At 41.9% G+C, this 20,886-nt stretch overlaps 1 protein-coding gene across 10 annotated transcripts in view; it reads right to left on the bottom strand.

Annotated features, from left to right (window-relative positions):
• SNX27 (sorting nexin 27) overlaps positions 1–20,886 on the bottom strand; it is an 87,031-nt gene that overhangs the window by 38,345 nt on the left and 27,800 nt on the right. For all 10 annotated transcript variants that reach the window (NM_030918.6, NM_001330723.2, NM_001437607.1 and 7 more), the window contains one exon: positions 2,309–2,501. In NM_030918.6, the coding sequence (NP_112180.4) occupies positions 2,309–2,501 (193 nt within the window). The remainder of the gene's footprint in view (positions 1–2,308; positions 2,502–20,886) is intronic.

Genomic DNA, 20,886 nt, shown 5'->3' with positions numbered 1-20,886 from the left:
CGTATCAAAGTTTTAAGTTTAAATCATCAGTTTTAAGTTTAAATCATCAGTAGCAGGCAATAATGAGGCAGCAAACCATGTCTGGTATATAAGATTTTAAGGCATGACAAACATTCATCTAAATATGATCAGAACAAAGAAATAATAGAAAATACAAAGATGTAGCTTGCTAAAAATATTAAACATAACCAGAGGGAGAAATAAAAGTTCCGTAAATATAACTTTGCAGTCTTGTGTGACCTATTAACAAGCAGAACAACAGAACATGGGGTAAAGAGGTAGTGGTAGGGAAAGATTAATCAGGAATAAACCAAATATAAAATTGAAATACTAAAGGAAAAATATTTATTTGGCCTAAAAACAGGCCAGTCAGAGAACCACAAAAATTAAAAGCTATTTTGGGAAAACTGGGGTAGGTAATTAAGAATTCACATAATTTCACCTTACTGACTTTAACTTTAGCTTCAAAACAACCACCAAAAAAAAAAAAAAAAACTGGGGGGACGTGATGGGATAGGAAAGCAAGCCGGCAGGTAAGGTAGGTAGCTAATCCTCTAAATTTAAGAAAGTTAATTTCCTGACACTCTCATGAGAATGGTAAATTAAACTGGTGACTTTACTTCGTTTGATTTTTAAAAATTGTACCCTTTCTCATTTCCCAAGGGCTTTGTTCAGAGAGGCCAGTCCATGTTAGAAAAAGCTAAAAACAGATAAAGAAGTTCCACTACCTTCTATGGGGAAAATGGTTTCTCTTCACGATAAGGCTCCCTACAAAAGTTTTTAAAATATTCAACTAGGTCAGTTAGTTACAAGGAAACAGAATGACTACATATCACGTAAAACTGTTATTCTATAAGCCAGTATTTTAGAGAAAAACCTACTGAACAGCTACCAAATAATATAACTTTATAATGTAGCAAGGAAAGGTCTCTTCCCTGAGCCAGAAGATGAGCTATCTTATTGAGGAGATCTGTGTCATTTCCCTGCCTTCCTAGACAAACAAATGTTTCACCATCCACATCCACAGACTCCTGATGTATCATTTGGAGGCACTGAGATAACAAGTAAATTTCAATACAGGGCCAGGTGCAGTGGCTCACGCCTCTAGACAAATGTTTCACCATCCACATCCACAGACTCCTGATGTATCATCTGGAGGCAGTGAGATAACAAGGAAATTTCAATACAGGGTCAGGTGCAGTGGTTCATGCCTGTAATCCCAGCACTTTGGAAGGTGAAGACGGGCGGATCACCTGAGGTCAGGAGTTCGAGACCAGCTTGGCCAACATGGAGAAACCCCGTCTCTACTAAAAATACAAAAATCAGCCGGGCATGTGGTGCGTTTCTGTAGTCCCAGCTACTCGGGAGGCCGAGGCAGGAGAATCGCTTGAACCTGGGAGGCAGAGGTTGCAGTGAGCCAAGGTCACACCACTGCACTCCAGCCTGGGCAACAGAGAGAGACTCTGTCTCAAAACAAAACAAAACAAAACAAAACAAAAAATTCAATACAGAAGTATTAGTATCTACCTTTAGCCTGCTTAGAACAAGGGCACTCTAGATTACCTACAACTCAGCAAACCTATCTATGAATACCTGTAAAATGAATAAAGTTTTCATGTAGGATACAGCAGTAAGCCAAGAATCATTTTAATGAAAATGTCTTAAATATTTAAAATGTCTTAATATTGCCCACTTAGTTCCCAAATCAATTCAGCATATTGCTGAGTCTATATGTGTTTGCTGGCAGATAATATAACCCTAAAAATAAAGGTCCATGTAATCCCAGCACTTTGGGAGGCCGAGGTGGGCGGATCACGAGGTCAAGAGATCGAGACCATCCTGGCCAACATGGTGAAACCCTGTCTCTACTAAAAAATACAAAAATTAGCTGGGCGTGGTGGCATGTGCCTATAGTCCCAGCTACTCAGGAGGCTGAGGCAGGAGAATCACTTGAACCCAGGAGGCAGAGGATGCAGTTGAGCTGAGATCGTGCCACTGCACTCCAGCCTGGCGACAGAGCGAGACTCCGTCTAAAAAAAAAAGTCCATTAGGCATCACCAAATGCATCAAAAACTAAATATTCATTTTTCTGTTGTTGTTAAGCATTCAACAAACCAATGAAACAGGCTACTGATCACTGTACTGGACATTTCAGTTTTGCCTTCAAAGTTCAGATCATTCAATACTTAGTCAGAAACCTGACTTACATTCACTATTGAGGTTCTGGAAATTCAGCTATGCAGTTTAGAAGTTGCATATCTAGAACCTACGTCTACTCAATATAGTAGAGTTTGATGGTTTGGATTACCTTTTTCTAGATATTCTTCCAATCCCCGACGTCGGGCATCTAATTGTTGTTCTGATAATGAAAATGGCCACTTCCCTGGGAGTCGAGGAAATGTAAAGTTGGCAAACTCTCTCTTCAGGTTCTGGTGTAGGATAGCAAACTCCCGGTACCGCTTAGAACACAGCTGCCTCCCTGCCATGTAAACATTATATACCTGGTGAAGGAGAAGAACAAAAGAAAAGCATACTTAATACAAATTAAATCACAAAATCATCTAGTCAGGCTTAGATGATATTGGTTAGATGCATTCTGCTATGCATTTAACAAAGACTATATTCAAGCTCACTTTAAAGTAAGACTTACTTTTGACAAACATGCATAAAGTTATATGCATAAAAAAGGACTACCAAAGGAGCATGATCTTGTTTTTGTTTTTTGGGGTTTTTTTGAGATGGAATCTCACTCTGTTGCCCGGGCTGGAGTGCAGTGGCATGATCTCGGCTCATTGTAACCTCCGCCTCCCGGGTTCAAGCAATTCTCCTGCCTCAGCCTCCTGAATAGCTGGGATTACAGGCATCCGCCACCATACCTGGCTAATTTTTGTATTTTTAGTAGAGAAGGGGTTTCACCATGTTGGCCAGGCTGGTCTCGACCTCTTGACCTCAGGTGATCCACCCACCTTGAACCACCGCACCCAGCAGGAGGAGTGTGATCTTATTTTTGCTATTAAAATGACCTCTAGCATACTTTTAAATATCTTCAAAGGCAATTATCAGTTTTTAAGGTGGATTTTATTTTCAGAAAGTTAAAAGTCATTTGAAGCCAATGTGGTAAATATAGTGAGTCAATAAGCAAGCAAATTTGAAGGGAGCTGAAAACCTAGGGTTGATTATAAAGCAATGTAACTGATACTCGTGTGTGGCCTAAACTGGCTCTAAAGTTGATTCCAAAGAAAAGGCCTAAAAATGATGTAAGCGGCCTGGGCACGGTGGCTCACGTCTGTGATTCCAGCACACTTTGTGAGGCTGACAGGCAGGCAGATTGCTTGAGTCCAAGAGTTCAAGACCAGCCTGGGCAACATGGTGAAACCCTGTCTCTACAAAAAAATACAAAAATGAAGCTGGGCATGGTGGCATGCGCCTGTAGTCCCAGGAGGCTAAGGTGGGAGGATTGTTTGAATCCAGGAGGCAGAGGAAGCAGTGAGCCACGATCCTGCCACTACACTCCAGCCTGGACAATAGAAGGACACACTGTCTCAAAAAAACAAAATGATTTCAGCAACAGTGGAATTTTTGTTAGTTCCTTAAGCAGATAATGTGAAAAGCAAAATAAAAGCTAAGCTAAGATCTTGAAAATAATTTACTTTACACCATATAGTCTCCGCCTCCTCTATTCCACATCCTTATGTCCCTGTTTCTCTGACCGCAAAAAGTTATCATATCCAACCATGTTCATGATTCCCTTGCTTTTCTTTTTATATATTTTTTGCATTTATATATAATCCTTAAATTTTTATTTTTATTCTAATTTTAAAGGATATTTTGGTTTTATAAAAATAGAGTATCAAGATGAATGATACTTCAAAGGACTTACTTTTTTCAGTTAATATTATACTATAGTTTCATCACAACATTATATGTCTTTGTGGTATACTCTGCTGCATACAGCATTTTGTTGTGTGAATATATCATAGTTGCTCGTTTGTTTTTAATCTGTTCTCCCACTCATGAGCACTTGGGTTGTTTCTGGATTTTAGCTACCGTGAATAATGCTGCCATTGACATTTGTATAAATGCCTCCTGCTGTACATGCAAAAGATATTCTTCTGAGTACAACCCTGAGTGAACTGCAGAGTTATATGCATATTCAACCTCAGGAGATAATGCCGAAATGTAAGCTAAAGTGGTTGTACCAATTTATTCTCTTTCAGCAATATATAAAAAGATCCTCTTAATTTTGCCAATGGAATTGGTGTGAAAAGATTTCTGTGATCCTAATTACTAATGATGTTTAATATCTCTTCATATACTTATTGACCATGTGAGTGTCATTTTTTGTAAAGTACCTACTCATGCGTTTTGCCTACCTTCATATTAAGTTTTTTGGCTTTTCTTATTGATTTGATTTATGGAGTTCTTTATATATTGACATAATCTGTTTCATTTGTGTGTATTGTGAATATCTTCTTCCAGTTTGTCACTGGTCTTTTTTTTTTTTTTTTTTTTGAGACGGAGTCTCGCTCTGTCACCCAGGCTAAGAGTGCAGTGGCACGATGTCTGCTCACTGCAAGCTCCGCCCCCCGGGTTCACGCCATTCTCCTGCCTCTGCCTCCCAAGTAGCTGAGACTACAGGCACCCACCACCATGGCCGGCTAATTTTTTGTATTTTTAGTAGAGACGGGGTTTCACCGTGTTAGCCAGGATGGTCTGGATCTCTTGAGCTCGTGATCCACCCGCCTCGGCCTCCCAAAGTGCTGGGATTACAGGTGTGAGACCCGTGTCCGGCCAAGAGCTTTTAATTTTTTGTTTTGTCATTTAAGTCCTTAATCCATCTGGAACTTATTCCTCTATATAATATGAAGTAGAGTTCCACTGGCATTTCTTTTAAAGCCAAGAATATTTAAAATCAACTTTTAATCAAATCATCCCTAAATAAAAAACATTCTCCATTTATAGAACAATCTGTGGACTTCCAGGTGGTAATTAACCTCCCATTAAATACAACCAGAAAACTGGACACAATGTAGGCAACAACTATTTTCAGACACTGGACAACAGGCAGCTAAGAACGGTGATCCCTGAGAAAAGGGAAGCAAACAAGATGATCCCTAACATAATCTCAGCTTTCTGCCTAGAGGTAACTCCTAAACTGCAGCTCAGGGAGGGGTACCCAAACAGAGTTTGGCAACTTCACTGAGTTGAATAAACAGAAACTGAAGTTCGAGGAGGCCAAAGCAGCTACAATTTGCAGGACTAATCATGCAAGAGGGAGCTAAAGCAAGACATAGCTCCAGAAATCTGTATTAAGTTCCCTTGAATTTTGACTGAATAACGATCTAAGGAAAGAACTATTATCAGCCGGGAGCAGTAAATAAACAATTCCCAGAGTTCACACAGGTTATGGAATCATTCAACTTCCCTCCAGCCAGAATAAAGAGACCTCCCTAAATCTGCATGGAATTTAGAAGGGAACTCAAAAAGACCATGCTTTAGGAATGGAGCTAAATTGGTTCTAGAGTAAAAGGTACTCTAAACTACTCAAAAAGAGCTTAAAAACAAAGCTAAAAAGGACCAAAGTAATCTTTAAGTAGCTTAACTGTATGCCAGGAGAAAAAAAAAAATTCCAACACTCTTTAAAGAAATGTAACAAAATCTAGCACCCAATCACACTGCATTCACAATATACAATATCCAATCAAAAATTACTAGACATATAAAAAAGCATGAAAATTTGACCTATGACCAGGATAAAAATTAGTCAGTAGAAACAGGCTCAGAAGTTACCAAGACAAAAGAATCAGTAGACAAGGACATTAAGCAGCTATCATATATTAAGAAGTGGGATTACGAAGTGTATTAAGAAGTGGGATCTTTAAGAGGTAATGGCAAAACTCTCGTGATTAATGTCATTATTGAGGCAGTGGGTTATTTATCTCAGGAGTTTGGGCCCCATTTGCTCTCTGTCTCACATGCACTTCCCCACCAGGGAATGCCTTCCTTCATGTTATAACACAACAGAAAGGCCTTCACCAGATGTGGCCCCTTGATATTAGACTTCTCAGGCTCTAGAACTGTAAGCCAAATCACTTTTCTTTATAAATGACCTACAATCTGTGTTATTCTATTAAAGCAGTGAAAACAGGCTAAGACAGGCAGTAAATCCTCTCATTCAGAGTGCACAGGCAAAGATCCACTTCTTCAGGGGAAGGAGTAAAAGTAAAATACTCTATACCCCTGGGGAGAGGCAGGAAACCATATTAGGCCCAGGTTCCTCCACTGTTACCAAGCAGAGGTCGGCTATAGCTGAGGGAGGGACAGGAAACGCTTTCCCAAGACTAACCACAGATACAAGGCCGAGTTTGGCTGCAATAAGAAGGAAGGGCAAAAGAATCAGGACACAGAGACACAGATTCTGCCTAAGACTAAGGGTGAACTACACAACATCTACCTCTACCATGAGTCTAGCCCAAGTAAAAAGCAAGAGTAGTCTACCAGTAGCAGAGGGGTAAGAATGTAAAGAGAGAACTTGTCTGTGGTACTGGTATGCACAGGTGGCTGAAAGCCTGAGGACAAAACACTGAAAAAAACCCTCCAGGGTCGGCCGGGCACGGTGGCTCACGCCTGTAATCCCAGCACTTTGGGAGTCCAAGACGGGTGGATCACGAGGTCAAAAGATCAAGACTATCCCAGCCAACATGCTGAAACTCCATCTCTACTAAAAATACAAAAATTAGCTTGGCGTGGTGGTGTGCGCCTGTAGTCCCAACTACTAGGGAGGATGAGGCAGGAGAATCACTTGAACCCAGGAGGTGGAGGTTGCAGTGAGCCAAGATCGCGCCACTGCACTCCAGCCTGGTGGCAGAGCAAGACTCCATCTCAAAAAAAAAAAAAAACAAAAAAAACTCTCCAGGCTGGGCACAGTGGCTCTTGTCTATAATCCCAGCACTTTGGGAGGCCAAGGCAGGAGGATCACTTGAGCCCAGGATTTTGAGACCAGCCTGAACAAAATAGTGGGACTCTGTCTCTACAAAAAGTAAAAAAAAAATTAGCCAGATGTGATGACGTGTGCTTGTGGTCCCAGCTACTTGGTAGGCTGAAGCAGGAGGAATGCTTAAGCCAGGAAGTCAAGGCTGCAAAGAGCCATTATTGTGCAACTGCACTCCAGTCTGAGTGATAGAAGGAGAGCTTGTCTCAAAAAACAAAAAATAAATAAATTTAAAAACCTTCAGAACCCCAGCCCTCACTCTAAGCACAAGGTAATAGCAACCCATTGCTAGAGAAACTTGAGGCCTATGGCACAGTAAAGGTAATGATAGCTATAACAAAATTCAAGCCCAGCTTAACTGACTACATTCCCTAACAGAAGAGTATTGCCCATTTCCAAGTTGAAACACTATTTACTTCAGTCATCTCTACTATTATTCCACACATGATGCTTGACATTGTTAAATATTACAGAACAAAAATGGAAAACAAACAAACAAACAACAACAACAAAAAAAAAGGCTGGGTGCGGTGGCTCACACCTGTAATCCCAGCATTTTGGGAGGCCAAGGCGGGTGATCACCTGAGATCAGGAGTTCAAGACCAGCCTGACCAACATGGAGAAACCCTGTCTCTACTAAAAATACAAAATTAGCCAGGCATGGTGGCACATGCCTGTAATTCGAGCTACTCAGGAGGCTGAGGCAGGAGAACTGCTTGAACCTGGGAGGCGGAGGTTGCAGTGGGCCAAGATCGAGCCATTGTACTCCAGCTTGGGCAACAAGAGCAAATCTCCATCTCAAAAAAAAAAAAAAAAAGAAACCCAACATTATGTCAAGAGATAAAACAGTCTCAGAGATGACCCAGATGTTGAAATTATCAGGCAGCATATTATTAGAATAACCGTGATTAACAATGCTAAAGATCTCATGCAAAAGGAAAAGGCAGAAAACATGTATGAACAGATACAGAATTTCAGCAGGTGTGAAAATTACAAGCAAATAACAAATGAAAGTGACAGAAATAAAACGCATGGGCTGGGCGCAGTGGCTCACGCCTGTAATTCCAGCACTTTGGGAGGTCGAGGCGGGTGGATCACAACGTCAGGAGTTCGAGACCAGCCTGGCCAATATGGTGAAATGCTGTCTCTACTAAAAAAAAATACAAAAATTAGCCAGGCGTGGTAGCGGCTGCCTGTAGTCCCAGCTACTCGGGAGGCTAAGGCAGGAGAATTGCGTGAACTTGGGAGGCGGAGGTTGCAGTGAGCCGAGATCACACCACTGCACTCCAGCCTAGGTGACAGAGCAAGGCTCCGTCTGAGGAAAAAAAAAAAAAAAAAAAAGGCGTGGTATCAAAAATGAAGAGTTCCTCTAACAGTCTCATCAGCAGACTGGACACAGCTGAGGAAAAAATCAGCAAACTTAATGATAGGTCCATAAAAATTATCTAAAGAGAAAAATTAGATTAAGATTCAGTTTCCTCTCCCTCTCCCTCTCCGTCTCCCTCTCCCTCTCCCTCTCCCTCTCCCTCTCCCTCTCCCCACGGTCTCCCTCTCCCTCTCTTTCCACGGTCTCCCTCTCATGCGGAGCCGAAGCTGGACTGTACTGCTGCCATCTCGGCTCACTGCAACCTCCCTGCCTGATTCTCCTGACTCAGCCTGCCGAGTGCCTGCGATTGCAGGCTCGCGCCGCCACACCTGACTGGTTTTGGTGGAGACGGGGTTTCGCTGTGTTGGCCGAGCTGGTCTCCAGCCCCTAACCGCAAGTGATCCGCCAGCCTCGGCCTCCCCAGGTGCCGGGATTGCAGACGGAGTCTCGTTCACTCAGTGCTCAATGGTGCCCAGGCTGGAGTGCAGTGGCGTGATCTCGGCTCGCTACAACCTCCACCTCCCAGCCGCCTGCCTTGGCCTCCCAAAGTGCCGAGATTGCAGCCTCTGCCCGGCCGCCACCCCGTCTGGGAAGTGAGGAGCGTCTCTGCCTGGCCGCCCATCATCTGGGATGTGAGGAGCCCCTCTGCCTGGCTGCCCAGTCTGGAAAGTGAGGAGCATCTCCGCCCAGCCGCCATCCCATCTAGGAAGTGAGGAGCATCTCTGCCCGGCCACCCATCGTCTGAGATGTGGGGAGCGCCTCTGCCCCGCCGCCCCGTCTGGGATGTGAGGAGCACCTCTGCCTGGCCGCGACCCCGTCTGGGAGGTGAGGAGCATCTCTGCCCGGCCGCCCCGTCTGAGAAGTGAGGAGACCCTCTGCCCGGCAACCGCCTCGTCTGAGAAGTGAGGAGCCCCTCTGCCCGGCAGCCGCCCCATCTGGGAAGTGAGGAGCGTCTCCGCCCGGCAGCCACCCCGTCCGGGAGGGAGGTGGGGGGGGTCAGCCCCCCGCCAGGCCAGCCGCCCCATCCGGGAGGGAGGTGGGGGGGGTCAGCCCCCCGCCCCGCCAGCCGCCCCATCTGGGAGGGAGGTAGGGGGGTCAGCCTCCCGCCAGGCCAGCCGCCCCGTCTGGGAGGGAGGTCGGGGGGTCAGCCCCCCGCCCGGCCAGCCGCCCCGCCCGGGAGGTGAGGGGCGCCTCTGCCCAGCCGCCCCTACTGGGAAGTGAGGAGCCCCTCTGCCCGGCCACCACCCCGTCTGGGAGGTGTGCCCAACAGCTCATTGAGAACGGGCCAGGATGACAATGGCGGCTTTGTGGAATAGAAAGGCGGGAAAGGTGGGGAAAAGATTGAGAAATCGGATGGTTGCCGTGTCTGTGTAGAAAGAAGTAGACATGGGAGACTTTTCATTTGGTTCTGTACTAAGAAAACTTCTTCTGCCTTGGGATCCTGTTGATCTGTGACCTTACTCCCAACCCTGTGCTCTCTGAAACATGTGCTGTGTCCACTCAGGGTTAAATGGATTAAGGGCGGTGCAAGATGTGCTTTGTTAAACAGATGCTTGAAGGCAGCATGCTCGTTAAGAGTCATCACCACTCCCTAATCTCAAGTACCCAGGGACACAAACACTGCGGAAGGCCGCAGGGTCCTCTGCCTAGGAAAACCAGAGACCTTTGTTCACTTGTTTATCTGCTGACCTTCCCTCCACTATTGTCCTATGACCCTGCCAAATCCCCCCTGTGAGAAACACCCAAGAATTATCAATAAAAAATAAATAAATTTTAAAAAAAAAGAGAAAAATTAGAGCTAAAATAGAATAAAACACCCAAAAGCTCTAGGACAATATCAAACAGTGTAAAACACAGGTAACTAGAACCTCCAGAAAGGCAAGAGAAAAAGAATGGGCTGAAGAAATGTCTGAAAACATACTGGCTGATAGTTTTCCAAAAATAATAAAAGATATCAAACCACATATTCCTCAAGCAGGACAAATAAGAAACAAACACCTAGACATGTAAAAATGAAACTCTGAAAACTAAAGATAAGGAGAAAATGCTGCAGGCCAGGTGCAGTGGTTCAGGCCTGTAATCTCAGTGCTTTGGGAGTCTGAGGAAGGAGGATTGCTGAGGCTGAGAGTGTGAGAATAGCCTGGGGAACATAGCAAGACCCCATCTCTACTAAAAATTTTTAAAATTAGGTGGCCAGGTGCGGTGGCCGACACCTGTAATCCCAACATCTTGAGAGGCTGAAGTGGGCAGATCACTTGAGGCCAGAAGTCCAAGGCCAGCCTGACCAACATGGTAAAACCCTGTCTCCAGTAAAAATACAAAAATTAGCCGGGTGTGGTGATGCACACCTGTAGTCCCAGCTACTTGGGAGGCTGAGGCAGGAGAATTGCTTGACCCTGGGAGGTGGAGGTTGCAGCGAGCCAAGATGGTGCCACTGAACTCCAGCCTGGGAGACACAGTGAGACCCCATCTCAAAAAAATAAAATAATAAAATAAAATATAAAAGTTAGACAGGTACAGTGGCACATTCCTGTAGTTCCAGCTACTCGGAAGGCTGAGTCAGGAGGATCACTTGAGCCCAGGAGGTCAAGGCTGCAGTGGGCTATTATTGCACCATTGCACTCCAGCCTGGATGACTGAGTGAGACCCTGTCTCTGTTTTTTAAAAAGAGAGTAAACTTTGAAGGTAGCCAGAGAGGGTTAAAATAATCCATAGAAAAGACCAAAAAATAAAACAAGCAGGCTTCTCATCAGAAACTATGAAAACCAGAAGACTGGAGTGATTTTGTTTTAAATTGAGACAGGGTTTAGCTCTGTCTCCCAGGTTGGAGTGGAGTGGTATGACCACAGCTCACTGCAGCCTCAACCTTCTGGGTTGAAGTGATCCTCCTGCCTCAGCCTCCCAAGTAAGTGGGACTACCAGCATTGTGTCACCATGCCCAGCTATTTTTTCATTTTTTGTAGAGACAGAGTCTCAGTATGTTGCCCAGGGTGATCTCAAGCTCCTGGCCTCAAGCAATCTTGCTGCCTCAGCCTCCCAAAGTGCTGGGATTACAATGGAGTGATTGTTTTTTTCTTTTGGTACTTTAAAAAAATAAATAAATAAAAATTTAAAAAATCGGCCAGACACAGTGGCTCACGTCTGTAATCTCAGCACTTTGGGAGGCAAAGGCGGGTGGATCACGAGGTCAGGAGTTCAAGACCAGCCTGGCCAACATGGTGAAACCCTGTCTCTACTAAAAATACAAAAATTAGCTGGGCGTGGTGGCGGGCGCCTATAATCCCAGCTACTCGGGAGGCTGAGGCAGAGAATTGCTTGAACCCAGGAGGCAGAGGCTGTAGTGAGCCGAGATCGTACCACTGAACTCCAGCCTGGGCAACAGAGCAAGACTCTGTCTCAAAAATAAATAAATAAATAAAAAGAAAAAGAAAAGAAAAAAACAATCCACCAAGAATTCTATACCCTGAAAAAATCTTTCGAATATAAAGGTGAAATGAAGACTTTTTCACATCAACAAAAGCTAAGAGAATTCATTGCCAACAGACCTGCACTATTAATGCAAGAAATATTAATGCAAGTTCTTCAAGCAGAGGGAATCTAATGCCAGACAGAAACTAGATTTACACAAAGGAATAAAGTGCATCAGAAATGGTAAATATGGGCTGGGCATGGTGGCTCACGCCTGTAATCCCAGCACTTTGGGAGGCCAAGGTGGGCAGATCACCTGAGGTCAGGAGTTCATGACCAGCTTGGACAACATGGAGAAACCCTGTCTCTACTAAAAATACAAAATTAGCCAGGCGTGGTGGTTCATGCCTGTAATCCCAGCTGCTCGGGAGGCTGAGGCAGAAGAATTGCTTGAATCTGGGAGGTGGAGGTTGCAGTGAGCCAAGATCGCGCTATTGCACTCCAGCCTGGGCAAAAAGAGCAAAACTCCGTCTCAAAAAAAAGAAAGAAAGAAAGAAATGGTAAATATGTGATCAAATATAAAATAACTCTTTTCTCATGTTTAATCTCTTTAACGCCAGGCGTGGTGGCTCATGCCTGTAATCCCAGCACACTTTGGGTGGCCAAGGCTGGCGGATCACTTGAGCTCAGGAGTTCAAGACCAGCCTGGGCAACATGATGAAACCCCATCTCTACCAAAAACACAAAAAATGAGCTGGGCGTGGTGGTGCGCACCTGTGGTCACAGCTACTCAGGAGGTTGAGGTGGGAGATCACTTGAGCCTGGGAGGCAGAGGTTGCAGGGTGCCAAGATTGCACTACTGCATTCCAGCCTGGGTGACAGAGTGAGACTCCACCTCAAAAAACAAAAACAAAAAACAAAAAACAAAAAAACCCCGACTCTTTAAAAGGCAATTGTTTTTTTGTTGTTTTTTTTTTTAACTTCTTAAATGCACAAATTTATTTTTTCTCAACAAACACACATCTTAATGCCTTTACAACTTTTATCTCCCCAAATATACCTTGCTTTTCTTTATACATGCTGTATACAGAGTTGTTTTCCTTATATTTAGTAGTTATTGCTTTTTTGTGCCCTTTTGGGTCCTGAATTTACACATCAGGCATAGATCTTGGGACAGGAAAGAGCTGTGAAGCAAATTCCTGGAAGATCAAACCCCTTCCAGCATGGCCAGGTAGCACAGCTGAGCCAGGGATGATGGGGCCATATTGGGTTTGGCTCTGCCTTGCAGCTGGCAGTCCAAACACTGAGGACATGCATATTTCTGCAGGCCTCACTATGGTCATCTGTCCAAACCCCAGAATCCAGAGACTCAAAACGAAATACAGTCATACAGTAAGATATGTGCAAGGTTTCAGGGAGCCCAGCAGCCAGACCTTACAGCTTTAGCTCAATTTAGACAAATCAAGCAAGTTTAAGAAATATTCCAGAAGTAGCAGTTTTATGACCTTAAAACATGTAATAGGCTGGGCACGGTGGCCCATGCCTGTAATCCCAGCACTTTGGGAGGCCAAGGTGGGCAGATCACTTGAGGTCAGGAGTTCGAGACCAGCCTGGCCAACATGGTGAAATCCTGTTTCTACTACAAATACAAAAATTAGCCAAGTATGGTGGCTTACACGTGTAGTTTAGCTATTCGGAAGGCTGAGGCAGGAGAATCACTTGAACCTGGGAGACGGAAGTTGTGGTGAGCTGAGATCTCACCACTGCACTCCAGCCTGGGCAATGAGAGCAAAACTCCAGCTCAAAAACAAAAAACAAATTAAAAAAAAAAAAAAAAAGTAATAGAGATGATGTAAACCTGTCTGTCAGTAGACCCAGGCAAAAACAATTATATTTAACTGACAATCCTGAAGCCTAAAAGGCAATTGTTTAAAGCAAAGATAACAATGTATCATTAAGTTTATAACACATATAGAAGTCAATGTATGACAACAATAGCACAAAGGATGGCGGGGGGAAATATACTCTTGTAAGTGTCTTAAATTATATATATAGTGTGTGTTTGTTTGTGTGTGTGTGTGTGTGTGTCTGTGTCCAGCCTGGGCAACAGAGAGAAACCTTGACACACGCACACACACAGAAGGTATTATGCTAAGTATCTTCTATAACTACAGTGGGGTAAAGTTAGAAATTGGTAACAGAGGGAAAGCTAGAAAACTCACAAATTTGTAGGAATTAACATCTGACGGGGGGACAAAATGGCCAATACAAATATATATTATATATTTATATATTATAAAATTAGATATATTAGATATACTTACCTATATACAGTGTTATACTATATATAATATATATGTACTATATATTATGTCTATACAACTACAAATTCAAATATATAATTTGAAGGTAAATGTTCATAAATTATAGATATATACTGTAAACCAAGAAAAAAAACAAATTATACCTAATAAAACAATAGTAGAGATAAAATAGAATCATTTAAAAATACTCTATCCATCCAAAAGAAGGCAGGAAATGAGGAAAAAAATAAATAATGATACAACATAGATAGCAAAGAACAAGATAGTAGATTTAGCCTAACTATAGCAATAATTATACTAAAGGTAAGTAGTCTACACATTCCAAATAAAAACATTGCCAGACTGGATAAAAAAGCAAGACCCAGCTCTAAGCTTTCTATGAGAAACCCAGTTTAATTATAAATGTATAAATAGGTTAAATGGAAAATATAGCAACGAAAACAATAACCGAAAGAAAGGTGACATGGCTACTAGTGGCTATATGTTAGTGGCTCATATGTTATATGAGAGAAAGACTTCAGAACAAAGAATATTACCAGGGATAAAGACAGATAGATATATTACAGATAGAGACTTATATAAAGAGATAAATAATGTTAAAGGGATCAATTCATCAAGATATAATATTCATTATAAATAAAGAAAAACCTGACAGAACTGAAAACTCCATTTCAAGTAGTGCATACACTTCCTGTAGACCAACCCTTCTGCTGTAACCACTATAAATTCTGGACGAAATACAAAAACAATTATCTGAGGAGTCTGAATTACACACTAAAAGCAGGCAGACTGTGGAGGGGACTCAAAACATGGAGCAATGATGCACAGGGTGGGGTACACTCCTGCATTAAGAGGGCTTTGCCCTGCTTGTGGGCATAAGTTACAAAATAGCACAATTTAAGTAACTAAAACTCAGAAAGTGACGTCTTTCTGACTCAAACATATAGGGAAAAGATTCTAGGTAACCATGGCTGCTACCAGAGTGAGTGGAGAATCCAAGACAAGAGAAAACCAGAGAAGGTGATCCTTAATTCTAAGAATAAACACCACATGTATCTCAGACTAATCCCTTCTTGGATGTATACAGACTCAAAGTAGCACAGCAAAGGCTGAAAGAATTAAACTGAGATTTGAAGTTTAACCCACAGAAGGCGACACAGCTTACAGCTTATTGCCAGCTAAAACAAAAACATCGATACTCCTCAGAGGAATATTACAGAACCCAGAGTCTCCACAATGTAACATTCATAAATATGCAAGATACAATCCAAAATGACTCAATATACAAAGAACCAGAAGAATATGACCCATTCTCAAGGGAAAAGACATTTAACAGAAACCAATCCCAAAATGACACAAATGTTCAGACACATAAGGAACAGACCAATGAAACAGAGTAAAAAGTTCAGAAATAGAACCACACATAGTCAATTGATTTTCCACAATGATGCCAAGATATTTCAATGAGGAAAGAACTTTCTTTTCAACACAGGTTGCTGTGAAACAACTGGATATCCATATAAAAACAAAATCAAAAACAAAACCTTGACCCTGGTCAAGGGCTCACACCTGTAATCCCAACACTTTGGGAGGCCGAGGCGGGTGGATTACCTGAGGTCAGGAGTTTGAGACCAGCCTGGCCAACATGGCAAAACCTCATCTCTACTAAAAATACAAAAATTAGCCAGGTGTGGTAGCGCATGCCTGTAATCCCAGCTACTCAGGAGGGCTGAGGCAGGAGAATCGCTTGAACCCGGGAGGCAGAGGCTGCAGTGGGCCAATATTGCGCCACTGCACTCCAGCCTAGCTGACACTCAAAAACAAACAAACAAAAAAACCTTGACCTTTATATCACAATATACTAAATAAATAAATAAATAAATCCCTCAAAATGGATCACAGACCTAAACGTAAGAGTAAAAACTATGGTACAGCCACTTCGGAAAACAGTTTGGCAGTTCCTCAAAAGGTTAAACCTAAAGAGTTACCATATGACCCAGCAGTTCCATTCCTAGGTATATATCCAAGAAAAATGAAAACACATATCTACACAAAAACGTGTACACAAATGCTCATAACAGCATTATTCATAATAGTCAAAAGTGGAAAGAACCCAGATGTCCATCAATTGAAGAATGGATAAATAAAAGTGGTATATCCATATAATGGAATGTTAAAATGAAGTACTGATGCATGCTACAACTTGAATAAGCCTCAAAAATATTATGCTGAGTGAAAGAAGCCAGTTACAAAAAAAACCATGATTCCATTTCTATGAAATGTCCAGAATACGCAAATCTATAAGACAGAGGATAGATTAGTGCTTTCCTAGAATTGGAGGGGATGGGAGGTTTGGAAAATGATGGCTACAAGGAATGAGATTCTTTTTGAGGTGATGAAAATGTTACAAATTTGTTTTATGCTTCAAAAGTGCTAACTTTGAGTCATAAGACATGTAAGAAGTTGAAATCAAGGTCACATCCTAAAAGTAGAGCAGACTGGATGTTGAGACCTTTTGGGAATTACCTAAAACCTTGGGAACTTGAGAAAAGGAATGAAATTACTAATTGTACTTTTATTTATCTATTTTTTTTTTGAGACGAAGTCTCACTTTGTTGCCCAAACTAGAGTGCAGTGGTGTGATCTGGGCTCACTGCAACCTCTGTGAACACACTAAAAACTAAATTGGCCAGGCGCAGTGGCTCAAGCCTGTAATCTCAGCACCTTGGGAGGCCAAGGCAGGCAGATTTCCTGAGGTCAGGAGTTCAAGACCAGCCTGACCAACATGGAGAAACCCTATCTCTATTAAAAATACAAAATTAGCCGAGCGTGCTGGCACATGCCTGTAATCACAACTACTCGGGAGGCTGAGGCAGGAGAATTGCTTGAACCCAGGAGGCAGACGTTGCGGTGAGCCGAGATTGCACTATTGCACTCTAGCCTGAGCAACAAGAGCGAAACTCTGTCTAAAAAATAAAAAAATAAAAAAAACCCTAAATTGTGCACTTTAGGTGAACGTATGGTATATAAATCATATCTTAATAAAGTTCTTATGGCTGGGTGCAGTGGCTCACACCTGTAATCTCAGCACTTTGGGAGGCCGAGGCAGGCGGATCATGAGGTCAGGAGTTCAAGACCAGCCTGGCCAACATGGTGAAACCCCATCTCTACTAAAAACACATAAATTAGCTGGACGCAGTGCTATGTGCCTGTAGTCCCAGCTGCTGGGGAGGCTGAGGCAGGAGAATTGCTTGAACCCGGGAGGCCGAGGTTGCAGTGAGCCGAGATCGCACCACTGCATTCCAGCCTGGGTGACAGAGGGAGACTCCGTCTCAAAATAAATAAATAAATAAATAAATAAATAAATAAATAAATAAATAAAAGGCCAGGCGTGGTTGCTCATGCCTGTAATCCCAGTACTTTGGGAGGCCGAGGCGGGCGGATCACTTGAGGTCAGGAGTTCCAGACCAGCCTGACCAACATGGAGAAACCCTGTCTCTACTAAAAATACAAAATTGGCCGGGTGTGGTGGCACATGCCTGTAATCCCAGCTACTCTAGGAGGCTGAGGCAGAAGAATCACTTGAACCCAGGAGGCAGAGGTTACAGTGAGCCAAGATCACGCCGTTGCACTCCAACCTGGGCAACAAGAGTGAAATTCCGTCTCAAAAAATAAAATAAAATAAAATAAAACAAAAATAAAAAATAGGCAGGGCGCGGTGGCTCACGCCTGTAGTCCCAGCACTTTGGGAGGCCGAGGCGGGTGGACCACAAGGTCAGGAGATCGAGACCATCCTGGCTAACACAGTGAAACCCCGTCTCTACTAAAAAATACAAAAAAATTAGCCGGACATGGTGGCAGACACTTGTAGTCCCAGCTACTCGGGAGACTGAGGCAGGAGAATGGCGTGAACCATGGAGGCGGAGCTTGCAGTGAGCCAAGATTGCGCCACTGCACTCCAGCCTGGGTGACAGAGCAAGACTCCATCTCAAAAAACTAATAATAAATAAATAAATAATAATAAAGTTCTTACAAAAAAAGATAGCTGAAACTATAAAACTGTAAGAAAACATAAAAGATTGGTGTCCTTGGGTTAGGTAGATTTCTTAGAACACAAAAAAGCATTATCCATAAATTTAAAAACTGATAAACGAGACTATATCAAAATTTAAAATTTCTGTTCCTTGAAAGATACTGTTTTAAAAAATGAAAAGGCAAGTCGCAAACTCAAATATTTACAAAACATCTAAGTCCCTTTTTTTTTTTCTTTTTTGAGATGTTGCCCAGGCTGGAGTGCAATGGCACAATCTCGGCTCACTGCAAGGTCAGCCTCCCGGGTTCAAGTGATTTTTCTGCCTCAGCCTCCCAAGTAGCTGGGATTACAGGCTCCTGCCACCACGCCCGGCTAATTTTTGTATTTTTAGTAGAGACGGGGTTTCACCATATTGGCCAGCCTGGTCTCGAGCTCCTGACCTCAAGTGATCCACCGACCTCAGGTGATCTGCCCACCTCAGCTTCCCAAAGTGCTGGGATTACAGGCATGAACCACTGCGCCTGGCTTATCTAAGTCCTTTTTCAAGCTACTGGAAAATATATCATATATATCTGATATATATATATCTCATATATATCTATATCTGATATATATATCTCATATATATCTATATCTGATATATATATATCTCATATATATCTATAGCTGATATATATATCTCATATATATCTATAGCTGATATATATATCTCATATATATCTATAGCTGATATATATATCATATATATCTATAGCTGATATATATATCTCATATATATCTATAGCTGACATATATATCTCATATATATCTATATCTTATATATCTCATATATATCAGATATATATAGCATATATATGATATATATGTATCTGATATATCTATCTGATATATATCATATGCTATATATATCATATATATGATATATATATCAGATATATATGATATATATATCTGATACATATGATATATATATGATACATATGATATATATATATATATATATATATATATATATCTGATAAAGGACTTGTAGAACCAGAATGTATAAAGAACCCCTACAATAAAATAATAAGACAACCCAATTTTTTAAACGGGCAAAAGAGTTAAACAGCTACTTCATCAATGAAGACACATGAATGCCCATTAAGCACACAAAAAGCAGCTCATCATCATGAGTCATTAGGTAAATGCAAATTAAAACCACAGTAAGGTATCACTATGTCCATGAGAATGGCTAGAATTAAAAAGACTGAAAATATCAAGAGGTTATGGAACCACTGGAACTCTCCACTGCATATGATAATGTAAAAATGATATAGCCACTTTGGAAAACTGTTTGGCAGTTTTTTATAAAGTTAAACTTACACTTACCCTGCAATTCCACTTCTTGGTATATACTCAAGAGCAATGAAAACATATGTCTACATAAAGACCTGTACATTTAATATTATTTCATGGCAGCTTTAGTCATACTAGTCCAAAACTGCAAACAACCCACATGTGCATGAACAATGAAAGGATGAACAAACTGTAGTAAATCTATACAATGGACTACTACTCAGCAATTAAAAAGGGACAAATATTTGGTTTAAATAACAATGTCTGCCAATCTTAAGCACTATACTAACTGAACAAAGCCAGATACAAGAGAGTACAAATGGTATGATTCTACTTATTTGACATTCTGGAAAATGTAAAATATGGTGACAGTAAGCTGATCCGTGGTTGACAAGGGCAGTGGTAAGGGGTGAGGACTAACTGTAAAGGGCATGAGGGAACTTTTGAGGGTATGAAAATATTCTAAATCTTCATGGTGGTGGTGGTGGTTATAAGACTATGTACATTTGTCAAAACTTGTAAAAGTGGAGACTTAACATGAGTGAATGTTAATATAGGTAAACTATGTTCAATAAAGTTGATTTGAAAAGTACAATTAGTGGGCTGGGCGCAGTGTCTCATACCTGTAATCCCAGCACTTTGGGAGGCTGAGGCAGGTGGATTACCTGAGGTCAGGAGTTCGAGACTAGCCTGGCCAACATGGTGAAACACCATCTCTACTAAAAATACAAAACTTAGCAGGGCATGGTGGTGCGCACCTGTAATCCCAGCTACTTGGGAGGCTGAGGCAGAATTGTTTGAACCCGGGAGGCAGAGATTGCAGTGAGCCAAGATCACACCACTGTACCCCAGGCTGGGGGACAGAGTGAGACTTCGTCTTAAAAAATATATATAATAAAAATAAAAATAAACAAAGGTACAATTGGTAGTATTATTCCTTTTCTCAGGTTTCCAAGGTTTTAGGTAATTCCCAAAAGGTCTCAACATCCAGACTGCTCTACTTTTAGGATGTGACCTTGATTTCAACTTCTTACATGCCTTATGACTCAAAGTTAGCACTTAGGAAGCATAAAACTCTAAATTCTGTGTGTGGTTCTAAGACTACAGAAGTCCATGCTGAAATAAAACCTATATGCCATTATCTACAGCTAATTACAGATGCAACCAAGCATTATTTGATCCTCTGCAACTCTTTTAGCTTCCTTGCTTTTCTTATCTCTTCACTAAAAAGAATTTACCATAAATGTTTAGTAGCTCGTTCCTATGCAGAGGATAAATCTCAGTTTTAGAGACTGTAACTTTAGTCAACTGTTAAGCTTTAAAACCTGTAGTCTGTTTGCCAGCATCTAACAGAACCCACTGCATTTTCTACTAAGAATAATGAACATTTCTCATTATATCAACACTCCACAAATAATTAAAGGCA

Source organism: Homo sapiens, chromosome 1 (assembly GCF_000001405.40).
Source record: "Homo sapiens chromosome 1, GRCh38.p14 Primary Assembly".
Classification (NCBI taxonomy): Eukaryota; Metazoa; Chordata; class Mammalia; order Primates; family Hominidae; genus Homo; species Homo sapiens.
Note: the sequence above shows the minus strand (reverse complement) of the source record. Positions and strands in the feature narration are given on the sequence as shown.